The sequence below is a fragment of the Homo sapiens genome, chromosome 6 (genome assembly GCF_000001405.40).
Source record: "Homo sapiens chromosome 6, GRCh38.p14 Primary Assembly".
NCBI lineage: Eukaryota > Metazoa > Chordata > Mammalia > Primates > Hominidae > Homo > Homo sapiens.
The window spans coordinates 18,492,003-18,517,437 of record NC_000006.12 but is presented as its reverse complement, the minus strand read 5'-3'; the positions used below and the strand labels follow the sequence as shown (position 1 = coordinate 18,517,437).

Here is a 25,435-nt window from a genome sequence, read left to right as displayed (position 1 = left end):
CTGAGGCAGGAGAATTGCTTGAACCCGGGAGGTGGAGGCAACAGAACAAGGCCCTGTTTCAAATAAAAAAAAAGGTAATGAGCTATAAATATACAAAACAACATAGAGGAATCTCTAAAAAATTATTCTGAGAGAAAGAGGTTAGAAAAAATAAGATTCCATTCACATAAAATTCTCAAAAATGCAAACTAATCTATAGTGACAGAAATCAGTGGTTGCCTGAAGAAGCGAGAAGCAGGTGATAATTAACCCAATTTGGGTAAAGGTTTCGCAGATACATATAAATGTATTTCAAACTCATCAAATTGTTCACTTTAAATATGTGGATTTGAAACATCGTATGTTCTCACTCGGAAGCTAAGCTATGAGGATGCAAAAGCATTAGAATGATACAATGGACTTTGGGGACTCTGTGATGGGGAAGCTGGAAAGGGAGTGAGGGATAAAAGACTACAAATAGGGTACAGTGTATACTGCTTGGATGACGGGTGCACCAAAATCTCACAAATCACCACTAAAGAACTTATTCATGTAACCAAACACCACCTGCTCCCCCAAAACCTATGAAAAGAAAAAATAAATTAAAAAATAAAAAAGTCAAAATAAAAATAAACAAATATGTGGATTTTAATATTTGTCAATTATACCTCAAAGAAGCTGCAAAAAACTGATGATTAAAAGAAACTTACGGAGAAAAATGAGTAAGAAAGTGCACCTGCTCTTGAATGAGACTACGGGTAATGATTTGATTTTTTAAAACATGGTAAATGCAATAATAGCAATACACCTACAATAAAAAATCTTTTGGGCCCTAAGCAACCTTTTTGATGAATTGAGGCCTGAACTGGGCTATAGAAATTTCGTATCTATCATTAACTTAATATATTATTACGTTTTGTCACTGCCACTTGCTTCCAAATTTTCTATAATGATCATATAATTTTTTCATAATAAAAACATTATTTTAAAAATAAATGTTCAGTGAAAAAGACTAATTTAAAAGACCTTGTAAATACTATAAAAAATATAAGTATCATGCTAACAATAGTTGAATATTAAGAGGAAAATTGTGCCTGAATATTAAAATGGCTATATAGAAAGAAAGAAACCATGCTAGTCTAGAGAAAAGGGAATGAAGGAGAGCTTAGAGATTAATTTTCGTTAATAATGTTCTCAATTCAGCTTTGATTTCATCTGCCACAAATCTTTGCCTCCTCCTAATATGGCTTAATTAGCAGGAAATGGAGGGTATCCTTTCACACCAGAGAAATTCAAAGCTTCCCCTTGTAGTTTATCCCCAAAATTTCTGGGTGCAGCAGAAGTCAGTCAAGCTGCTACAGCTTTTGTTATCGATGCATTATTTTGATGGGCACTGAGGGGTGGCAAAGACAGCCTGACCTTGATGGCAGCAACAAGCAGGCTCTAACAACAAGTTGCAGTGCACTGCCACCCCACAGCTCTGGAATGCATGACAAATCTTTGTTAATCTCTTGAAACAATATCACCCTTCAGAAGCACTGCTTTTTGCTTTTTTTCTTTATTTTATTTTCACTACCCAAGTGTTGCCTAAAGACATAGCACAAGCTACAAACTTAATGACTTTGAATTAATTCATTTTTGATTGATTGAACTTTGAGAATCAATTCATCTTTGATTGGTTGAACTTTGAGAGTCCAAGAGAAGTCACAGACCCGTCAAGGGAAAGAGAGACACTTCACAGATAGGGAAATGTGTGCTTTCCACTTCCACATGCCCCTGACACACAGAATTTCAGATCCTGAACTATGAAAGGTGGCTGTGAGCCATTCACAGACCTCTGCCCCTTGGATCAGGGCATTCCTATCATTTATATTTGTGTATTCCTAGATACCATCACTATTCCAATGGATATTGGAAAGGTGAGACAATATCATTGACCACAAAGTAACTAAAAGGCCAACTGGAATTTTTAAGATGCAGAATTTTTCTATCTTTCAATGAAACACCCAATTTTTTAAAGAAAGCATGCTTACATTTGCCTTTATTTTCAAAATTTTTAATTGTACAAATTTAAGCAGTACAAGTGCAATTTTGTTACATGAATATATTTCATAGTGGTGAATTCTAGGCTTTTAGTGTATCTGTCACCCAAATAACATACAGCATACCCATTAAGTAAATTCTCATCCCCCACCCTCCCTCCCAGCCTTCCAAGTCTCCAATGATTATCATTCCACATTCTATGTCCCTGTGTAGTTAGCCTTACCTCTCAATAAATCATTTCAGCAACCTGTGTTTCCCTCACCACTTCTAAAAATTTTTTTTTTTAATTGTACATCTCGAAGTGCTAGAGTTTAGGGAATCAATATTCCCTCCTGCCTCACTTTCACTTCTCACAATTCTAACCTATCAGAACATTCACAAAGTTCACCAGCCCAAGTGGCAATTGCAATAGCAGCTTCACTAATGGCTGATGTTTAATCTTTTTGAAAAAAACATAAAATAAAAACAGGGTATAACGCCAAGTCTGTACTTGACAGCCTGCAGTCAAAATCTCCCTCATATATGCCATCAGGCACTGGTAAACAAGCAGATCCTGTTCAGTCCACTTAGCTCCCAGAGAATGGCAGTGCTAAATCCCTCTCCCTTCCTACAGATTTATAGCACAAGAGAAAGTCGAGTCAGATTCTCACTTTGGCGGCATCGTAACTAGCCATTGTGTTGTACATGGCCCAGTAGATTCATACTCAACCATCAGCAATTTATCTTCCTTTGGAGAGGATAAGTAAAAGGTGATTAGAGAAACAAGAAATGTTCACTCCAGAACTACCTAGAACTGAAGCGATTCTATGAATGACTAGGTTAGAGGCCTGATAGAATTGGGTACCTGGACACAAAAATCTTAAAAACCACAATTTACTACAGAGCTCAAAGGATACACTTTCATCACATGTTTATAGAGAACATCAAACTGGGGTGATGCGTGGGGAGGGGGAATTTGCAAGCGTCCTTGGTTTCTGATAGGAGCTATGCACAGGTCAGGGGCAATGGTATTCTGGCCATCCAAGGAGAAATCTTGCCAGATTGCCGGAAGGCCTGCCACTGTGAAGCTCTGAATAATTGCCTTATATGGCTGCAAAAACTAACACTAGTTAGCCACATCAGTTGGCTCTACCATCCAGTTCTTTTTTTTTTTTTTTTTTTTTTTTTGAGACGCAGTCTCGCTCTGTCGCCAAGCTGGAGTGTAGTGGTGCAATCTGGGCTCACTGCAACCTCCGACTCCCTGGTTCAAGCAATTCTCCTGCCTCAGCCTCCCGAGTAGCTGAGAGTACAGGCGCGTGCCACCATGCCCAGCTAAATTTTGTATTTTTAGTAGAGATAGAGTTTCACCATGTTGGCCAGGATGATCTCGATCTCCTGACCTCATGATCCGCTCGCCTCAGCCTCCCAAAGTGCTGGGATTACAGGCATGAGCCACCATGCCCAGCCTACCATCCAGTTCTTAATGCACTTACTTACAATCCCATTGGCATCATCTTGCTTTATTGTCCAGACATTCAATCATAAATTAGCCATCACATGACAGTTGCGACAAGACCCGTCCATGTGCAGGCTCAAACAGGTATCTATAAGATCTAAGAAAAATTGAGTGCAGTAGACCTACTCCCTTTTCTGTTATCCCCATATTAAAGATTAAAACAATCAAGGGAGAAGGTGGTTACATAACTGCCCAGTGTCATAGCTACTGTGTTATAGAGCCAAAAATTAAACCCAAGTGATCTGGCTCCAGAGTTCATGCTCTTAACCACTGCCCTGTGCTGTATTGCAAAACTACGTATGTATGTTTCTAAGGAAAAGTGCCCTACTCAGATCAAAACAGAGTGAGCTTTGCTCTGGTTAGAAAAAGCAAATTCGTTTCCATTCAGATTGTCACCTCAAACCACAAACTTAGAATTAGTGAAGCTAAGTTGTCTAATCTTTGTCTAATCTCCAGTCCAGAGCATAAATCCCCTCTGTAAAACCCCCAACAGATCATACATCTCCTAGTATTGCACAAATACCACAATCAATCAGAGAATCTATTGAGCATACTGTGTATATGACTCTCCTAAGAGCTTTATGTAAGGTATTGCATTTAGTCCCTATCAGGTAAGAAGCACAGAATTCTCATTTTACAGACAGAAAAATTAAAGCTGAAAGAGGAAGAGATTTGTCTAAAATCACACACTCTGTAATTAGCAGGCTCGACATTGCCTGTGGAAAAGGATCCAGACTTGGAAGTCTGAAGAAAATAGACTCAAGGTCAGAGTACAAGCCTGTGCCCAGGAGGAAAGGGGTGCACTGTGTAGATCACAGCTGTTGTCTGAGCCTCAGAGCATGGTACATGTCTCAGCAGGGCTGCTGCTGGTGTTCTCTGTGCTACCAGCTTATTCTTTCTGTGAGTTGCCCTTTCGCCTCTCTCTTATTTGTTTGTTTATTTATTTATTTATTTTGAGACGGAGTCTCCCTCTGTCACCCAGGCTGTAGTGCAATGGCGCAATCTCAGCTCACTGCAACCTCCACCCCACGAGTTCAAGCGATTCTCCTGCCTCAGTCTCCCGAGTAGCTGGGATTACAGGTGCCTGCCACCATGCCCAGCTAATTTTTATATTTTTAGTACAGACAGGGTTTCGCCATGTGGCCAGGCTGGTCTTGAATTCCTGACCTCAGGTGACTCGCCTGCCTCGGCCTCCCAAAGTGCTGGGATTACAGGCATGAGCCACTGTGCCCGGCCCTCTCTCTTACTTTAATCTCCTTGTTTTCAGCTTTCACTCATTCAGCAGATACTTAATGAGCACCCACTATGAGCCAGAGACTGATGTAGGCACTGAGGATAAAATGAACAAAATAGAAATTCTTCCTCTCTTGAATCTTGTATCTCATTGGGTGCAGAAGGAGGGGTGTGTGTGTGTGTGTGTGTGTGTGTGTGTGTGTGCGCGCGCGTAATTTAAAGAGAGAGATCTATAGATATTTATCAATAGATAGATAATAGAGATTTAAAGATAGATATAGATGGGTGATAGAGATAATACAGATTTAGAAATAGATATAGAGAAAGAAAGATTTAGAGAGAGAGAAATTGAGAGACAGAGATACAAAGAGAGAGGAAGATACTTGGTGATAAATGTTATGATAAGAAAATAAAGCAGAGTAAGACGGACTGAGAGTAATAGAGGGGGGATGGAATTTTATACCAGTTGATAAGGAAAGGCTTTGTAGTAGAGTGACCCTTAAGCAAAGGCTTAAGTCAATATTTTATGTATTTTGAGGCCCTTTTATCAGGAAGAGAATGGGGTCAATATGTCTCATCTTAACACCTCCTGAGAAATGCCTATATATCTTCATTCATTCATTCATCTTGGAGTCAATTTGCGATTTCATTATGCTAGACCCTGTGGAATGAACAAGTATGAAGAACAGCAGTTGGCTTCTTTGAGTTGAGTTTTCTGGAAAATAGACTCTAAAATGAGATTTTTATGCAAGAAAAAGTTTTACTGGGAGTGGTCCCAGAAATGATACCTGTAAGAGGTTGAAGGGCATGTTGACTGGTCTGATAGGAAGCTCTGGCATCGCGATGACCCTACAGGGACCAGGAGCACAGGCCTTTGATCTCCACATCAGGCAGTCACTGGATGGAGGCTGTCCCCAAGAATGGAGTGAACCCTGGGGTCGGCTGCTCCATTCAGATGAGGACTCAGCTCTGAACTAATAACAGCCAACAATCCCAGCAATTGCATATGGGCCTTGGTCCCAAAGGAAACATCCAGCAAACTAACTTTGTCCAATGCTTTTGAAACGGGAAGAGTTCCCTTATCCCCCACGCAGGGCATGCGACAGGGGTGTGGCTTGCATCTTCAGTGACCCCCTAGGAGGAGCATGCAGACCGGCAGGTCATAGGGAGCCTTTTTAGGCTCCGACCCCACAGCAGCATCTATGGTTGGCTGTTTACAACTCCTGAAGCCCCAGCTGGCACGTGTTACAGTGTGCTCTTTCAGCTTTTGCCATCTGCAGGCAGCTTGTGTTAATCAGCTCAATTAGACCCTCTGCTTTATCACAAGGACAGAGGGCTTTCTGTGTCCCGGATTCTTGCCCTAGTGTACCGGCAAAGTCGGATCACATGTAGGCTTGAAGAATGAGTGCAAGGTTCTATTGAGTAGTTCTCAGTGAGATGGATGGGGAGGCCAGAAGGGGGATGGAATGGTAAGGTGGTCTTCCCCTGGAGTTGGGCCACCCAGCGGCTAGACTCTCCTCCAACCACCCCCAACCAAACTCCACATCTTCCCGCCATCTACGGCCTGCTGGCACCTGCTGGTGTCTGAGCCTTCTGCTCCTCTGCTCCTCTCAATGTCCAGCCGCTTGTGCCTGTGCCTGGTACGGTCTCAGGTTTTTATAGGCACAGGGTGGGGGGCATGGCAGGCCAGAGTGGTCTTGGAAAATGCAACATTTTGGCGCAAAAACAGAAGTTCCTTTTCTCACTTAGGTCTGTGGGCACAAGCCCGAGGGTGGAGCCCTCACCAGGGACCCACCCCTTCTCTACCCAGCACTTCCCTGTCCCCTCCCATATGACTTTCTCAGTAGACAGTATCATAAGATGGTTAAGAACATACTGAGTGAGAATACCTGGGTTCAAGTCTTGTCTCTGCCACTTATCAGTCATATAACTGTGGGAGAATTACCTAATTTCTCTGTGCCTGGGTTCCCTTGTCTGTAAAATTAAGTTAATAAAGGTGTCTATTTCCTAGGGCAGTTCTATAGAATAGGTGAGTTGGTATATGTGAAATGCTTAGAAAAGCACCTGGCTTTCCATGGAACTAAGTGTAGGTAACATTATGTAAATTTTCTCTTTTTGCTCTCAAAAGTCCCCCTATACATATTACTAATTCCATTTTAACAAAGGACTTTGGATGTCACTAAAGACATCATATGTGTACTGTCATTCAGCTTTCTCTCCCTTTGCTCTTCTTCTTCAGTCCTCGTGGTTTTAGATGGGGGCAGGGGGGTGGGCACATGACTCACACCTGACCAATCAGAGTGGCGCATTTCCTGCTGCTGATCCTGAAATAAGCATTGGACCTGAGCTGAGCATGGTGCTTTCCTGGGGTTTCTGCTGGGCTTTCATATTATCATGCTCTTCTTCTCTAAAAAGCCTAGCTCTGGGATCACACAAAGATTCCGGAATGTCTAGGAATCATCTTTTCTAAAATTTGGAGAGGGCCAACCTAAAAATGAAACCCAAGAAAAACCACAGCCAATACATGAGAGTTTCTGAATGCTTGTGATTGAGTTCCTGGATCTTGCCATGCCTAAAAACAGTATTCTGGGTTTTATAGAAACATGAGTCAAGAAATTCCTTTCTTGAGTTGGTTTGAGTTGGATTTTTTTTTCCACTGGCAAGGCCAGCACAGCTGAGCCAGCCAAAACTCAACTCTGAATTCTGTGGCAATAGGCATAACCCTGGAGCATCAAAGGCTGGCAGGGGTCCTGATATACAGAGAATGATGAGATAGCAACCAGTTCACCACCTCAGCTAAGGAGAGCCCTGTCAAGGATAACCCCTAATATGGTGTGATAAAAGTGGCATTCCACCTGTGGTTTTCCTTCCAAAAACCCATGATCCTAGTCTAATCAAGAGGATAAAACATCAATATTCAATAGAGGGGAATTCTACAAAATACCCGACCACTACCCTTCAAAACTGTCAAGGTCAATTATGTTAAGTGAAATAAGCCAAGCACAGAAAGATCAGTACCACGTGTTCTCACTCATCTAGAAGCTAAAAACATAAATTGGGCTCATAGAAATAGAGAACAGAATAATGGTTATTAGAGGCTGGGAGGATAGAGGGAGGGAAGGATAGGGAGAGGTTGGTTAACAGAAACAAAATTATAGCTAAAAAAGAAAAATAAGTTATAATGTTCTATGTAGCTCTGTAGGGTGACTATAGTTAACAATAATTTATTGCATATATTGAAAAGCTAGAAGAGAGGATTTTGAAAGTTCCCAACATAAAGAAATGATCAATGTTTGAGGTGATGAATATGCTAATTAACCTGATTTGATTGCTACACAATGTATGTGGGTATTTCAGTCTAAAAACATGTAGCTTTCTGGACGGGCACGGTGGCTCACACCTGTAATCCCAGCACTTTGGGAAGCCGAGGCGGGTGGATCACTTGAGGTCAGTTCGAGACCAGCCTTGCCAACATGATGAAATCCTGTCTTTACTAAAAATACAAAAATTAGCGGAGTGTGGTGACGGGCACCTGTAATTTCAGCTACTTGGGAGGCTGAGGCAGGAGAATTGCTTCAACCTGGGAGACGGAGGTGGCAGTAGGCCGAGATGTCACCAGTGCACTCCAGCCTGGGCCACAGAATGAGACTGTCTCAAAAAAATAATAAAATAAAATAATAAAAAATATGTAGCTTTCCTGTCTGAGTAGATAAATATATATACTAGCTTTTACTTACCAATTAGGCAATTTCTCCCTCCGAATTGAAACAGACAGAGGGTGTAAGGAGAGATTTTCCTGGATTGACTAGGTAAGATCTAGAAGATAAAAATGGAAGAATAGAGTTGGACAAAATTATGGCTGAGTGTGATAATACAGATGCAGGTATCTTGGTCTGTGAGTAGATTACTGGTCTGTAAGTGGAAAAATTAAGAAATTAGTGGTATTGAAATATCACTCTGTACCCCCATAAATATGTGCAATTATTACATGCCAACTAAAAGGAAAAAAATCTGTCAGGGTCATCAAGACCAAGGAAAGTCTGAGAAATTATCACAGCCCAGAGGAGTCTAAGGAGACATGGTGACTAAGTGGAGAAAGGATATTACAGAAAAACTATGCAACTGAAATAAAGGATAGAGTTTAGTTAATCTTTTTTTTTTTCTAAGGAGGGGAAGGGTAATCTCTACATTCACTTCCAGTTGGTCTTTGCTCTGAGAGTTCAGTGGCCTGGTGTGATGACGGCAGAGGTAACTTCCTCAACTCTGAAAACTGGAGGTCACTTGGACCTCCTTGATGACACCTTTTCATGATAGGAACTTTCCCATTCATTCAGCACACAGGGCTCCGTCTAAGCTACTGGGCCTCAAAGTGGTTCAAGCTATGGCTTTGTGCCCAAGGAAACTGCAATCTGGGGAGCATTGGACAGAGAAGGGCTAAACTTCCTCCTTAGTAGTGGCTCTCAGACCCACTGCCTCCCCAGCAGAGCTATCCTACAACTAAGTTGATAATTAAAGCAAAATATGAATATTCACTCGAAGTGGGATAAATATGATGAATGTAAAGCCTCACATGAACTCTGGTTAGATTTTGCCACCAATGAGTTTTGGTACCAAACTTACAGTAAAATTCTCAGTTGCCAGAGCTTTGGTGACGTTGAAATTTTAGATAAGGTATGGTAGACCTGATTAACACTTCCAGCTTCAACCCCAAGAGAAAATTGGTGGTAGTATCCACCATCCTTTCCCACTGTTCCTCAGGCTGTGTTTAGTTTATTTCCTAACCCTGAGGAAGATCATTCTTAAGATTCCTTTCAATTTTCTTTCAGATATATAATAACGTTGGTGTTTTGGAGTGAATTAGCCTGAATTGACTTCTCCCCTTAGCCTACTTCTTTAGCTCTCCTGACCTCATTCACACATTACTCGGTGGTTCTCAATACTGAGCTTGCATCACAATCCCCAGGAGGATGTATTAAAACACAGATTACTGAACCCTCCTTCCCAAGTTTCTGATTCAAGAGGTCTGGAATGGGGCCCAAGAACTGCTTTTTTTTTTTTAATTTTTTAATTTAATTTTAAGTTCCAGGATACATGTGCAGGATGTGCAGGTTTGTTACATAGGTAAACGTGTGCCATGGTGGTTTGCTGCACCTGTCAGCCCATTGATATAGGAGTTAAGAAGAAATCACTTAGGCAGATAGTAAGGGTTATGGGAGTCCACGGTAAGACCTTTTTTTTTTTTTTAATGAAAAGCAGCCCAAAATCATGTTCTAACAGAGTAGCCTGTAAAGTCAAGCTGCAGACATAAATAAGCAAGCTGGGAGCTTGCATGGGTGAATCCTGGCAGGAACTAGGGACTAGACATGTTCAGATGGCAGCTCCATCTTCCCTTCTCTTTGTCAGCCATGTGTACAGTGAGGAGCAGACAGGATGTCCCCAATGAACTGGAAAGCCCATTTGCATAATAAGATTAGGGCGGGGAACCAGCCTTCCCCATGCACTATGTAAACATCGTACCTAATCGAGCCAATCTGTGAGTCCTATGTAAATCAGACACCACGTCCTCAAATCTGACTGTAAAACCTGGCACATTTACCGCTGGCTGGGTCCTTTCCGCTCGGAGACCCCTCTCCCTATAGAGAGAGCTGTTTATCTTCCTTTTCTCTTCTGCCTATTAAACCTCTGCTCCTAAACTCCTCATGTGTGTCTGTGTCCTAAATTTTCCTGGCGCACCACAACGAACCCCAGGATATATACCCCAGGTAACGTAGCCGCTTCACCATTGCCTAAGGTATTAAGCCCAGCATGCATTAGCTATTTATCTTGAGCTCTCCCTTTCCCTCCGCAACCCGCCTCCCTGACAGGCTCCAGTGCGTGAGTTCCCCTCCCTGTGTCCATGTGTGCTCATTGGAGAACTGCTTTTTTAACAAGTTTTCTAGTGATGCTGACATGGCTGGTCCCAGGACCACACTTTGAGGGCCCACTGCGTTACTTGACGGAGCTTCTTTATCTTGCACTGAAGTGAAGACAACAATAAACATTCAGATGCAGTTTTCATCTTTATAAAGATTAGCTCCCAAATGACCCCAGTGTGTATTTGATGACTCACGGCTGTCTGCCTGTTCGACACACACAGAGATAGAAAGGCGGCTGAGTACTTGTCGCGAAGAGCTTGGTTGCCACGGGATTTTATTGGGATGTCATCCTGAGAAGCCTGAGTTAGGCCCTTCACTGGTGGTATCAGAATAAAAAATAGCAACTTTAAAGGAGTTTAGGGAAGGCAATTGAATTTTGATTTTAAATAAAATTCCTGAATTGAAATTCCTTTCCCAAACCACTGTATAATGTTGCTGTGTGAAGAAAAAAAAAAACTTTGCAAATGACTTTCCAAAAGTCATTAAACATGTAAAATGTTGTTCTCCTTTTAACATATATGACTGTCAGTCAACATGGAAACTCCAGCAGATAAAGATTCTCTTCTTTCAGGAATCAGGGAAGTATGCAAACTCTCATGAGCTGATTTTCTTAATTTTTCCACTTACAGGCCAGTCATCACTCACAGACCAAGATCACACCCATACATATTTTTGTCCAACTCTATTCCTCCATCTTTGTCTTCTAGATCTTACCTAGTAAGTCCAGGGAAATCTCTCCTTACTTCCTCTGTTTCAATTCTGAGAGAGAAATTGCCTAATTCATAAGTAAAAGCTAATATATATATCTACCCAGACAGGAAAGCTACACGGTTTTAGATTGAATTAGCCACAAGAATCAAGGCACCAACATCTCAAATTCTTGGAGTTCTTCAAGCTTTACAAAAATCTCTTCTTGTGTTTTTAATACTCAAACATTTACTCAAACATCTTAACGAGAACTAAACACATATTTCTACTCAATATTTTTATCTCCTTTATAATTTTGAACATTCTATCAGCATTCTTCTTACTTGTTTTAGTTACAAATGTTATGATTTCATCTGTATCATAGATTTAATTGATTTTGGAGAGTTGATCTGGAAACCAATTTATAATGTATATTTATAATGTTAATATTATATAATTTTGTATAGATAATCTTATAATTTTATAAATAAGAACATGTATTTTTGCCTCAATACTTACCAGCTAATCCATTTATTGGTCTAAGACTAAATGTCCTTCTATATTCCCTTAAACATATAAAATGTGGGTAACAACAAAGACCTTTTAATGAATACATCCTAGCTAACTCATAGATTATCAATTGAATTGTGTCATGATTATTTACTTTGCAAAAAGATTCTTTGCTTTTCAAAAGAATTAAGTTTCCTTTAAATAGTCACATGTAAAGGCATATTTTAACTCACACACCTGTTCATGCACATAGCTGTTTGCTGAATTAAGTGTAAAAATAAAATGAAGGGGAAATATCTTCACTCTCATTTTAGGCTTGTAGACTCTGCCTCCTCGGAGATACTCCCACTTCCTAACAGAAAGGCCTCAAGCCATTCTACGTGAATGTTAGATTCCACATTAGCAGATGCTGCTCCATACCCTCCCCACAGCCCACAAGAAGTAGCTGGGTGAAATCTAGGGCTAGGGACGCCTGGCGATGCCTTACACAGGTGGTTAGCAGGAGCAAGATGTCCAAAGAACAAACTGTTTCCAAGTCTCCCTTCTGTATCTTCTCATTAGAGGCAAGAGATATATCTTGGGAATCTCTGCCCCATTGGAAACTTTCCTAAACTTAGGACCTATTCCTGCCCCATCCCTCGGCTAGAGTCCCTGTCTCTAATACTAATTGTGGATATTAAGAATGGGGCCTACAAATGGATTATGTCACATTCTCTTCATTTTATGGATTAAATGCTGTCATCTTTTCACATTCCTTAACTGGCCTCTAAAAACAAAATCCAGCCCTGTCCTTTGTAAAGAACTGGATTGGTATTTGTCTCTTAAAGGTGTATATCCCCCATGCTCAGGCTACCTGCCTCTGTGGAAATAAGAGAAGAATTCCCTAACTCACTCATGTTCTGAGAAGACTGCTGGCCAGGGCGGATGTACGTAGTCTCATGCATATGCCACTGTACCCAAAATTGTACCATCAGTGACAGAATGAGCATATATTTCACTGGTGCCCACAACTGGTGGCAGGCACTTGGTAGGTTAGTGGTACGAAGATAACTAAGTTGGTTCTTACCCTCAAATAGCTCAGAGTCTACTGGAGGGCTCCCTCCTTTGGAATGAATTATTGTTCTTTCTCTCTATCTCTCTTAACATGCAACTATTCATTGATATAATTAATAGCATAGCATACCATAAGTTGCACATCAGATCTTTCCTTGCAATCCTAGTGTTTTGGGAAAAGACAACTTTTAAAAAGTCCTCATAAACCACTGAAATGAGTACAATGACCTACACACACCCCAGTTTGATAAAAACTCAATTCTGTTACCCTAAAGACGCACTTCACTACAACCATTGCCTTCCTTCAACCAAGAGCCATTCGTCTGCCATTACTTGAACAGAGCAGCAGATGGCACCAGAAAACTGCAGCATGAGAGGAACTGCACAAGCATTCTCGGCTTCCAACGTTCCCTTCCTTCTCAGGGAGTCAGCATTTCACATAACAGTGCCTCAAATTTGTCCTCAGGGGTATTATTTTCCTCAGAGAAGAGCTGGAGAAATAAACTGATATTCTAGTAAGAGAAGCACCCACCATCGTCATTGTCAACAGTGAGATTTGGTGCAAGGGCGAGCCATATTGCTTCCGGGTAACTCCATGACTTTCCAAGTGAGTAATCTTAAGAAACTCCGTGTTCTCATTTCCTCATCTACTAGAGGAATTAGAGTCAGAATTTCATCTAGCACCCTGAGAGGAACACATGAGAACCAAATGCCGTGCTGGATTTGAAAGGTTTTTGTAAACTGTGATAGGTTATTTATTAATTACCAGTAGCACACATTTCCCTCTGAGATCAGAGTGCATCTGGCGTGACACAAGCTGAGGCGGAAAAGCATTTTCTCTGCAGAAGCATGAGGTGCTCAGCCTGGGAATGCGGTGTTTCCACCATGCTGGGCCAACACACTCAATAGCATACAGTGAGGGAACAGAAGTGCTATTCAGCTTCTGGATACCAGGGATTTGCCCTCCCAGCTCTCTGGTTAACATTTCACCCCTTCCTCAATTCCAGTCTCAGGCAGACACCCTGGGACACTCATTCCCTGTCCTCTCAGCAAATCCCAGTGAAACTAAAACCTAAGCAAAGTGATGAAGAAGAGTCTCTAAAGTCCTCTGTTCCACATCCTGATTTCAATTTTCCCTTTCCAGATAATTCTGTGTCATCACTTTTACCCAGGCTGCCCCTGTCAGTAGGAAAATGAACAGGAAAAGGAACAGATAGCTTAACATGTTACCCCTTCAAGAAATATCTATATTTTAAATGAGAATTGTGGTGAAAGAACCATGTTTCATCCAAAGGAAAAAGTCTCTAACAGTCAAATGGGAGCCCCTGTAGGCAGAGAGAGTTTTTAAGTCACCAGCTCCTCCCACTAAAAAAGTCATCTCTCATAGATTTTAACTTAAGGCCCAGATAGCTTTTCCCCCTTTCTGTCCCCCAATTTCTTCCCTCTGGTCTATATAACTGATCACACTCTGTGAAAAGTATCCACTCTGCTCTTTTTTCCCTCTATGCCTGTCAGCAGCCGCATCTTTGTTTTTTCAGACAGAGTCTTACTCTGTCGCCCAGGCTGGAGTGCAGTGGCACAATCTCAGCTCATTGCAACCTCTGCCTCCTGGGTTCAAGTGATTCTCCTGCCTCAGCTTCCCAAGTAGGTGGGATTACAGGCGCCCGCCACCATGCCCAGCTAATTTTTGTATTTTTAGTAGAGACGGGGTTTCACCATGTTGACCAGGCTGGTTTCAAACTCCTGACCTCATGTGATCCACCCGCCTCAGCCTCCCAAAGTGCTAGGATTACAGGCGTGAGTCACCGCGCCTGGCCAGCAGCCGCCTTTTTAAATTTTCTGAACTTGTGCTCGCTTCCACAGCACATATACTACATTTTCTGACCTTTAACTCCCTGTTGAAGTTCTTCTCCCACCACATATACATGTGCTCAATAGAAATCAAGCTAACCTCCATGTAATCACCAAATCTTAACAATAATATTTTAACTCTGTGTAATACTTTATAATTGACAGAGTGTTTCCATTCAACAGGTAAACAGGGGAATGGGAGGGGATGACATGTCGGAAATGGCCTGAGGTCCCAGGGCTAACCAGAAGCAGGATTCAGACTTCAATGCAGACCTCTGTCTCTCAGTGGTCCAAAGACCATTCCCTTCTAACACTAAGAGCTTTCCAGAAGCTGTGGAAAAGGAGCCCTGAAGAACAAAATGGTAGTGCCAGGGGGGTGCCCTGATGTCCCACACCTGCACCTCCAGGCCTGCAGACCTTCCATGGGGACCAAAGGTAACCATATCTACAGCCAGCATTGGTCATCTCGCTGCTGGCAACAGGGGAATGAGGATGAAGGTAGATGTTCTCTCAGCCCATTGCCACTGCCCTCTCTTGAACTCCCTTGAATACCTAAGACAAGGTGTACCTTGAGCTGAACAAAACCCAGAGTGACCTTCCTAAATCCCAGCTTCAACCTTGGACTTTGAATACCTTGAAAAACCCCAAGATAAGGGAGGAAAGAAGAGCTCTAAGAAGCAAAGAAATGAGGGCCTAAAACCATGTCCTTAATTCCTTATTTCTTAATCCTTCCTGAGGATGCACTGTATGGAAAGTGCATTCTAGGCTGTTGTGCAAGAAGGGGAACCACCACATTCTTTTCCTGTGTTTACTGGAATCCCCTAATGTGACTTAGCAGCACGTCCACCAACCCCTGTTCCTCCCCTTAGACTGTTCTTACAGAGCTTCCTCTTGGGCCCACAACAGAGCTGCTGTGCTCCTGCCGGGCGGGCCGTCTTCTGACACACACACAAAAGCCTTGTTAGAGCTCCTTCCTTACTAGGGACAGCCCAAGGCCAAAAGAGAGATTCCCTGCCCCAAAACAGGGATGAAGAGCCCAGAACTTCTCTGTCACTGAGAATTTCAATGCCGTAGAGGTAACCTGGGATGGAGAGGAATTGAAAAGAGCTACTGAGAAGGGCCATTCCTCATGGGGCACCAGGGGGGCTTCGCGGGGGCGCAGGGAGGGCCGTTCCTGCCAGTGGCCCTTCTAAGAAACTCTATAACATCCATGTGAATGCTTTTGTCTGAGAGCTGGGAAAGTGGCCGTGGTTCTCCAGGGCATCCCATTCCCCATGCTAACCTCCAGGTTATATCCCTGAAGTGAATTCTTATTCTATGTTGCCTCAACATGCATTTTGAATATAAATTTAACTTTCTCATACCAGAAGCAGGGCTTAGGTACTCTTGGTGCAGTTTCTAGTTCTATACTCCCAAACCCAGTCCCCCAGTGTGGTCCATCTAGATATCTGCCTTATACAACTTCCTCCTGGTGACCCCCTGCCCAGTGACAGCTAGATATAGCCTGCTGGGCAGGCCCTGCTGACTCCCACAGCCCACATAGACTGTGCAGATGTGTCACAGCGACCACCGCTCATCGCAGCATGACCTCCTGAACTCATGCCTGCTCGCTAAACCCACCATGTAAAACTCCCACTGGAGACCTGCCTGGATAACACCCTGGACCCAGTAAAGTCATTAGTGCGTGGATTCCTCTCTCTCTCTCTGTCTTCGTGTGCTCCCTGCCTTCAGTGTGTGCCCTCTGGGCATGACGTGTAACCTCCAGTACCTGTAAGTAATAAAATCTTTATTTCCATCTTGTGTCCCCCTAATCAATGAAGCGGTGCCCTTCATCTCAAAGATCCTAAATTATAACAATCCCTTACCTAGAGATGATTTCCGCAGAAGTCGTCCAAGGGCAGAAACAGAAACAAGTCATGAAGTTCATTTGATCATCCTTGAGGACGTATCAGGAAGTCTTGTCAGCACAAAGGCGAGGCTGGTGGTAGTCCTGGGAATTATCAGCACCTGTGATTGAGTGGTTTCTCTGTGCATGGCATAGCACTCTTTAGGCTCCAAAGGCCTTGCTTCCAAAGGCCCAGTGGCTACCTTGTATACATATACATACACATGTGTATATGTAGACATATATTTTATATATTTCTGTGTATATAAATGTACCTATCAGTATACATATAAATACCTGATATATAACACACATTTATAAATATGTTATATTTATATAATTAGGTATTTTTAAAATACATATATACCTTTAAATATGTATAGGTACATATATATACACACATATACAATCTTTCATGACTGGGACTACATAAAAACAAAAACAACAATACCCCACAGTATTAGAAATAAAACTTTCTAAATCTATCAAATAGGTTTGCATCTATTACTTTATTGTTTAGTTCCAAAATTGTGAGGTTGGGCAGATACCATGATTAGCTCTATTTGACAGATAAGGAAATTAAACTTTCATTACAGTGCTGGTCTGAATCAAAATGAAACTCTAGGTTGAATGCTTTATTCATATCTTCATGTCCCTGACACATATTGCTTTAAAATGTTGTATAGTTTGGAGTATAAACTTTTGATGTTTTATAAACCTATCTTGGGAATTACTTTTGCTGACAATACCTTCCAGATTACCCTTCAGTCTCTATAATTGAAATAAACTTAGAAATGAGTAAAAATCACTTGGATGCAACTCACCTTAAAATTACAATTTGGTCGATTTTTCTCAAATCTACCTGCACACTAGGAATCACCTGAGATCTTTTTTAAAACTTCAGTGTCTAGGATTCACTTCTGATCAATTAGAGCAGACTCTCTGGGAAGGGACAGGGCAAAGTATTTTCTAAAGCTCAACATGACATTTTAATGTGCAACCATGGACTTAGATGGTTCAGGAGTGCACAGCCTCATCCAATGTACTGCATGATGCCAGATCATTTTGCACACAATTGTGTGTGTGGATGTCCCAGTTAGATAAACCAAATGTCCCCAAGTCTACCTAAGGGCACCCTTTTCACAGTTATCTGCCATCTTCCATCCAATACCCTCCCTAATTTTTCCAGGCATCCAGGAGACATGTTCCCCTGGTTCATACCACTCCAAATTCCTGCTGTTGCTGATTTCTCAGTCTTACTTCTCACTTTGCTTCCTGTGGATACTGCTCTGATTTCTAATCCCATTCCCACACCTTTGGCCACCACCTTCCCTCCTCCTTCTCAGCACTCAAAGTAACACTATCACTACTACCTCATGGAACAAACTTTTACTAAAACCTTAGGTTTAATAGAAGAGTACAGCTCCTAAACAAAACTTACCATTGAGTATTAGGCAGTGTTGTTCTCAAAGTTTCTGCCCTAGAGGATTCTGGGGTTTTTTTTGTTTTTTGTTTGTTTGTTTTTGTCATCAACAGTTTTCTTTGTTTCAATATCCAAGAGGTATTTCCTGCTATCCTCCCTCTCATAGTCTCAGGGGTCCTCACCACCTTTCTACCAAGCTATGACCCAAGAAAACTCACATTCCTGGCCAGGTGTGGTGGCTCATACCTGTAATCCCAGAAGTTTGGGAGGCTGAGGCAGGAGGATCGCTTGAGCCCAGGAGCTCAAGATCAGCCTGGGCAACATAGTGAGACAGTGAGATGCCATCTCTACAAAAAATTTAAAAATTAGCCAGGCATGGTGGCAAACACTGTGATCACGCCACAGCACTCCAGCTTGGGTGACAGAGCGAGACCCTGTCTCTCAAAAACAAAAAAATTAAAATTTATAAAAAAGCGTGTGTGTGTGTGTGTATGTGTGTCTGTGTGTGTGTGTGTGTGTGTGTGTGTGTGTGTGTGTGTGTGTTTAAGATGTAAGATTGGGGCCAAAAACCATTGGATGCCATGTAGACGAGTAGTTAGAACGCTATGTGAACAGAGTACATGCTGGGCAAGTGTTAGAGACTCCCTGAAAGAAGGGCTAGCCCTAAGACCTGAAGTAGCAGCCTGAGGGAATCAGCAGTTCCAAGGGGCAGCCAGAAAAGGCTGATCTGTGGCCCAAAAGTGAAGTGGCTGAGCACTGAGCCATTAGGGAATGTCCCTGGGCCAGTTTCATTTAACACCACCTGAGTCTTGCCTCAAACAATCAAAAATACTTGCCAAGAGCACTTCATGACCTCTACCAGGTGAGAGGTCCTGTGAGAGGAAGGGGACTACCCTCCCAGGGCAGACACTGAGCAAGGTGCCTGCAGCACAACAAGCCTTCAAGACAAGGGATGAAAGAATCCTTTGGACAAGATGTCTCTGGGACATCCCATCCATCTCCAGATTATGAAAGCTTCCTAATCAGCTTCTGGTAGGGGAAGGAAGGCAGCCTTGGACTCATGATCATCAGGGTGCTAATGAGCAAACCAGGCAATTCTGGACTGTATGCATTAGCAGCCGTTGCTCTGTGTGGCAGAATACACAACCCAATCAGAATGGTTTCAGGAACAAGATCTCTTGCTCTAAGTGATAATCTAGAATTTCAAAGCTAGAAAAAAACCCAAGAAGTCATCTATTAATAATGCACCTCTTCATGACACTATAAAGAAACTGGGGTTTGACTGGGTACGGCGGTTCATGCCTATAACCTCAGCACTTTGGGATGCCAAGGCAGGAGGATCTTGAGGCCAGGAGTTTGAGACCAGCCTGGGCAACATGGTGAAACCCCATCTCTACTAAAAATACAAAACAGCTGGGCATAGTGCCGCACACCTGTAGTCCCAGCTACTCAGGAGGCTGAGGCACAAGAATCGCTTAAACCCAGGAGGCAGAGGTTCAGTGAGCCGAGATCGTGCCACTGCACTCCAGCCTGGGCAACATAGTAAAAAAAAAAACAATCAAAACTGGAGGTCAAGGCGTAGAAATGACTTGTTGGGTGCTCTTGACTTCTTAGTGGTACAGCTGAGGCTACTTGGTCTCCTGGCTTCCCGTCAAAAGACCTTTTATGAACACACAACCTGCCATAAAACACATTGTTAATTAATCTTTATTTTCCTTCTTATCAGAGGAAGCCTTAAGATGTTAGATAACCTGTATTTCAATAAAAAGACCATAATAGAGAAGAAAAATATGTTTCTTGACACAAATCATAAATGTCATTTCCTTCCTGGCTACACTGCTCTCTCCTTCTCTCCTTCTCTCTAATACCATACCCTCCCCTCCCTCAATATATATCGCAATGCCTAAAGACAGAGAAGCTCTTCATACCATTGCCCGTGAAAACTGCCTAGGGAAAGCCTATGTTCCAGTCTGACCCCAGAATGAATTAAGAACAAAATTCAGTCTTGAATGAAACATGGCTTTAGTTTTGTTGACTTAACAGATTTTATCCCAGCACATTTTCTAAGCTTTATTTATCACCTCTATATCCGCTACTAGCTCTGCTAGAGGTGAAATCAATGCCAACCCTGGCTATTAAACCATGAGCTTGTAAAATTCCCAGCATTTTGCTAAAATACCAGGCAATCCTCAAAGGAAGCCTATCGCAACAGAAAAACAAAACAAAACATAGACTTTCCAAACCAGGGCATATTCAACAGAACCATGAATTGAGTGAGAGTCAGGAAGCCCAGATAGAGGCCCAGTTCTTTTGCCACTTGGCAAAAGATACCAGCCAGGGAGCTTTGCTTTCCTTACCTGAAATCAAGAAGGTTGGACTAGATAATCCCTAAGTCTCCTCCGTCCACAAGTTTCTATGATTCCATATAACCATATGGATATCCTCCATGATATCTGGAGTGATGTGACTTAGGTTGGTTCATCCAGAAGCATAGACAGGTTTCCAAGGGCCGCCTTGGCAAAACACTTTAGAAAACTCAATATTTCTGAGAATGATTAATGTTGAAAACAATGGGATCACCCGAGTTGGAATTTGCCCAGTAGCCGGCTTTACTTGGAAGAAAAGACACAGAATTCTGTTGGCCACAGGCTATTATTCAGGTTGTGGGATTGTTTCTCCATAGCCCAAGCACCACCTTCCCAGCACCACAACAGAGGCCTCATCTGATACTGACTCAGAGGGCACTTTCCCCATCTAAACCCCCATACTCTGTTTTCCTTGGAACATTCTCTGCAAACATTTAACTACAACCCAACCCTGCTTATCTCAAATGAATGTACCAGGTCTGGCTCCTTCTAGTACACAGGCAGGAAAATAAAGAAACAAACAACTCACTGCTTCTTTATTCATGTCTTCCTGAGCAAGGAGGAAGAAGCAGTGAAGAAGAATCAAATAGGAGGAAGATGACACTAGAAATACTAAGTGGAAGAACCAAGGACGGGGGAGAAAGCATCATTAAGGCAGTCAGTTGAGAACTGAGTGAGTAGTGGCTTCTCTGCTACCCATATGTTAAATTAATGATGGAAGCTGATGGATAAATTGTATGATTTGCACAGAGCAGTATACATTTCTCAAAAGCATGCATTCAAGAGGCCTTAATACTAAACACAAAAATTGGTGCACAGCAGCCTTCCAATTTAACATTCAGAGCCTTGATTTCAACTGTGATGAAGATGCTGAAATCAGTGTGCCCTTGAAAGAACTGAGCACATCAAATGATAAGGATAGAGTAGCTAGGATGCACTTTCTCTGTAGCAAAGTTCACTGAGGAAGTGGACCCTCTGGTAAGCTTCTCCCTTTCTCCTTTCCATCATACAACTTGAGCATACCAAGTGTTATGGACTGAATGTTTGTGTCCCTCCAAAATTCATATGTTGATGTCCCCAACGTATTGATATTTTGAAGTGGGGTTTTTTGGGAGGTTTAAATGTGGTCATGAGGGTAGAATCCCCATGATGGGATCAGTGCCCTTATAGGAAGGAAAGAGACCAGAGTTCTCTCAAAGAAGAGGTCATGTGAGCACACAGCAAGAAGGCAGCTGCCTACAAGCGAAGAGAAGCGTCTTCAGAATGAAACCCTCCTTGCCAAAACCTTGATCTTGGACTTCCTTAGCCTTCAGAACTGGGAAAAATAAAATTACTATTGTTTCAGCCATTTTGTTATGCAGGCTGTGCAGACTAAGACACCAAGATGCAGAAGTCATGGTCCTTCAATTAAGTTATTTACCAAGACCTTCAGTCGGTGCTATAGTGCATGGGTTGTCTTGAGCCCTGAGTTTAATCCACACCACAAAGAAGTTCAGATAAAACCCAAGGGTTACAGGTTACTCAGTAGAGTTTTTTCAGATAAACAGACCTCTGGTGCTTCCTCATTCCTCTCTCTGGTTTCCAACACAGATGTTCCTTCACAGACCATGAGGCAGGTCTGAGTTCCTCGGACTCTTCTGACCATTCAGTTTTTCTCTCATGGTCTGCAGCACACCATTTAGCACTAAATTACATGCCATCCTGTAATGATGGACTTTCCCCCTTTTTTTTTCATTTATATTCTCCCTGAAGCTCAATTATAAGCACCTAAAGTGCAGAGAGCATATCTCGTATTTTTTCAGCCTCCACAAAAACCTGGCACAATGCTTAGTATATAATAAGGAATCAGTAAATGTTTGATTTATTGGTCAAGTATAGAGTAACAGGTTTTGTGAGCAGGTATAGAGCAGCAACTTGTTACAATCCTCATTTGCGCCGTGGAAATGCCTGCCATCTTTTACCATCAGGATAAAGAGCGTTTCTCTTAGCGCCACATCTAATAGTGATCATTGCTTCTATCTGCCCGGCACGTCATAGCACACAAAGTTGCTTCAAAAAGATTGTGCCTGCAGGTTCCTTCCCACAAATCTGGGAAGCATGATATTCAGATGGGGTCCCCTTTATAGACCATAAAGCCCAGCTCATCAAACACCACCTCTCTCCCCAACCCTCTTCAACACTATGTGGGATGGCACCAGGGACCACCAACTCTAGCAAAAAATTCAGTGGATGAAGTTTAAAATTGCTGATTTAAAAAGCAGAAGTCTTAAGGGGGAAATCTATATAACCTAACCTAGATAATGGAAAATTTTTTAAAAAGCAGACATGATCAACTTTCTCACATTCGAAATTCCTCTATGATTGTGTACACATTAGAGAATATAGTTTAGCTGTTCCTTTAAAAAGAAAATTGATGTAATACTTTAACAGGAATGAGCAACTGCTTTTCCAACCTTTTGCATCTAAAAATAGTCTATGCCCCACAGTAGGGGTAGGACCAGGGAGCCCTCCTCAAGCGTTAACCTGCCTGATATGCACACACCCTCAGAGCTGTGTCTGTGCGAATGTCGTCCACAGATTAGGGCTACACTAGCGCCCTTCGTTCTCAGGAACGTGAAGATGTAGCATATATTATGGGATGTAACCCTACACACAAGTAGAGTGAAAGGCTCTTGGAGATCATAGAACCAAACAGCCTTTATGGGAAAAATAAGTCATAAAATGTTAACCTTGGGTCCTTAGCCAGAGAAATGAATGCAAAAGAGGAAAGACGCTGTGAAAATTCCTTTGTCCAAAAGTGCAAACAAATCTCCAATCTGTTACACCCAAAGAATGCTTTTACTGTGCAGACGACCCCCAACCTGCAGAATCAGGATCAGCATTTTATTTTTTTATGAACTAATAGATCAAATTACTTCAATAGAAGTCAGAGCACTACCCACTTACTTAACATAAGACTTGCTTCATTTAATTCCACATATTAAAATGTGAAGATTTATATACAACTGCACTGGGTCTTCCTTTAAAATGTATTTCTTACTACAGTGGTGGACAAAAAAGTTTGAGAAGTCTTGCCCTAGCAGCAGCAAGATTGTTGGAGGGGTAGTACTGTTTGCACTTCCTCCTTTCCTGGTATTAGCACAATGAAAGAATAGCATTGTTTGTTTTCTGATAGAGCATCTCTCTCCCCAGGGCAGCTGAGCAGGTAGTAAGTCTTGGATTCTGGCCTGCAAATAATGGCTGCATCGTTGCTGAGTAGATGAGCCTTAGGCAAGTTACTTAACCACTCAGGTCTCAGTTTCTTCATTGTTGTATAGGGACGCCACCTATTTCATTCAGGACACAGTGGAGACTAAGGATTGCCTCTAAAGTACCTAGCACAGTGCCTGGTGAATAAAGTTCTTCAAGAAATGTGACTTTCTGCCCTGTCCACATTCCACACCCCACCCCTCGTCTTCTGTAGGACTTGTGGGTTGGCACCTGCATTTCTCCACTTTTCTTAGGCTGGGCTTTGTTGACTGTGAAAATTCCTCATAATACTCCAACCCAATCATCTCTAGAGGCAGTCGCTGAATCAAAATCAGGCAAGCATATAATTTAGTCCAGTTTTCAGAAATGCATGTCTCAAAAAATATATAAAGCAAGACTTCATGAAGGCCTGTTCTTTCATGGCTTGCACAGAATAGAGGCCTAAGAGAAAGGCTTTGATAGATGAATGGTTTCAGGATCTCCAGGGTCTCTGAAAAACATCAGTGTCATATTTAAAGCGATAAAACCAACTTCTGTATCTCCTCCATCTTACTTCACATTCCTTGTGATCAGGGGGTTTCCACAGCACCCGGGAAAGACTCTTGATAAATATTAACTAAGGAAAGACAGACCAGGAAAAACTCTTACTTTTCTCCTGTCCTGGCACAGTCATTTAACTGTGAAAGGTCAGAGGAGCCTTTGTGTTTAGTCTGTTCTTGGGGAACCCCCCCATCCCCAAAGAGGAGCAGCCCTTCTTTAGCCTGTCTCAGACTCTCAGTCAGGTGTTAAACTTTTCTAAACATGGAAGAGCAACTGTCCCAATTCCAATACCCTGAGAGAAGCAAGTTATTCATGGGGGGCTCTCTGCCATGCCACCCAACCCAGCAGTGTTTATGTGGGGACGTTTACTCTCAGAACATTCTAGTGCCTTGTCTATCTCTCACTGTTGCCATCTTGCTCTTGCACTCCCTCTTACTCCATCTTTCTACCCAGTTCAGTTCTTTCCTGCATCTCTCCTATGTCTCTAGTCAGAATACCTTCACTTGTCTTTCTATCTTGTTTATACCTTTCTTAGAGCACTTACTACAGTTTGATTTGTGTAACATTTACTTTAAAAGATGCCCGTCTTCCACCATAGACCGTGAGCACCTTGGGAATATGGACTGTGTCTTGTTTTACCACCTCCCCTGACCTTCATCCATAGCACAATGCCCCACCCATAGTGAACATTCAACAGAGGATGCTGAACTAGATTGAACAGAATCCCTACTACTTCATTTGTTCATTTGTATCTAAAACCAAGTCTCAGGGAACTCTTTTTTTGCCATAATATCAGGAGAGAGGTTGTTGTTGTTGTTGTTGTTGTTGTTGTTGTTTTGAGATGGAGTTTCACTCTTGTTGCCCAGGCTGGAGTGCAATGACTCGATTTCGGCTTACTGCAACCTCTGCCTCCTGGGTTCAAGTGATTCTCCTGCCTCAGCCTTGCAAGTAGCTGGGGTCACAGGGGCCTGCCACCACACCTGGCTGATTTTTATTTATTTTTTTAATTTTTAGTAGAGACAGAGTTTCACCATGTTGGCCAGGCTCGTCTCAAACTCCTGACTTCAGGTGATCCACCCGCCTCGGCCTCCTAAAGTGCTGGGATTACAGGGGTGAGCCACCGCACCCGGCCAAGAGACAGCATTGTTAATAGACAAGAAAGAAGGATCCAGAGAAGTAAGGAAGGTAGAGAGTAGAAAAAAGCTT

General features: G+C 42.3%; 1 long non-coding RNA gene across 2 annotated transcripts; it reads right to left on the bottom strand.

Annotated features, from left to right (window-relative positions):
* Window positions 1-17: 17 nt before the first annotated feature.
* Window positions 18-20,578, bottom strand: LOC105374955 (uncharacterized). 2 transcript variants are annotated; one of them, XR_926549.3, is made up of 4 exons: window positions 20,432-20,578; window positions 16,632-16,773; window positions 8,488-8,566; window positions 18-53 (listed from the first exon to the last, which is right to left on the bottom strand). It is a non-coding gene; the product is annotated as an uncharacterized LOC105374955 (long non-coding RNA). The 2 variants fall into 2 exon arrangements; XR_926548.3 differs by having other exon boundaries at window positions 16,632-16,756.
* Window positions 20,579-25,435: the final 4,857 nt, after the last annotated feature.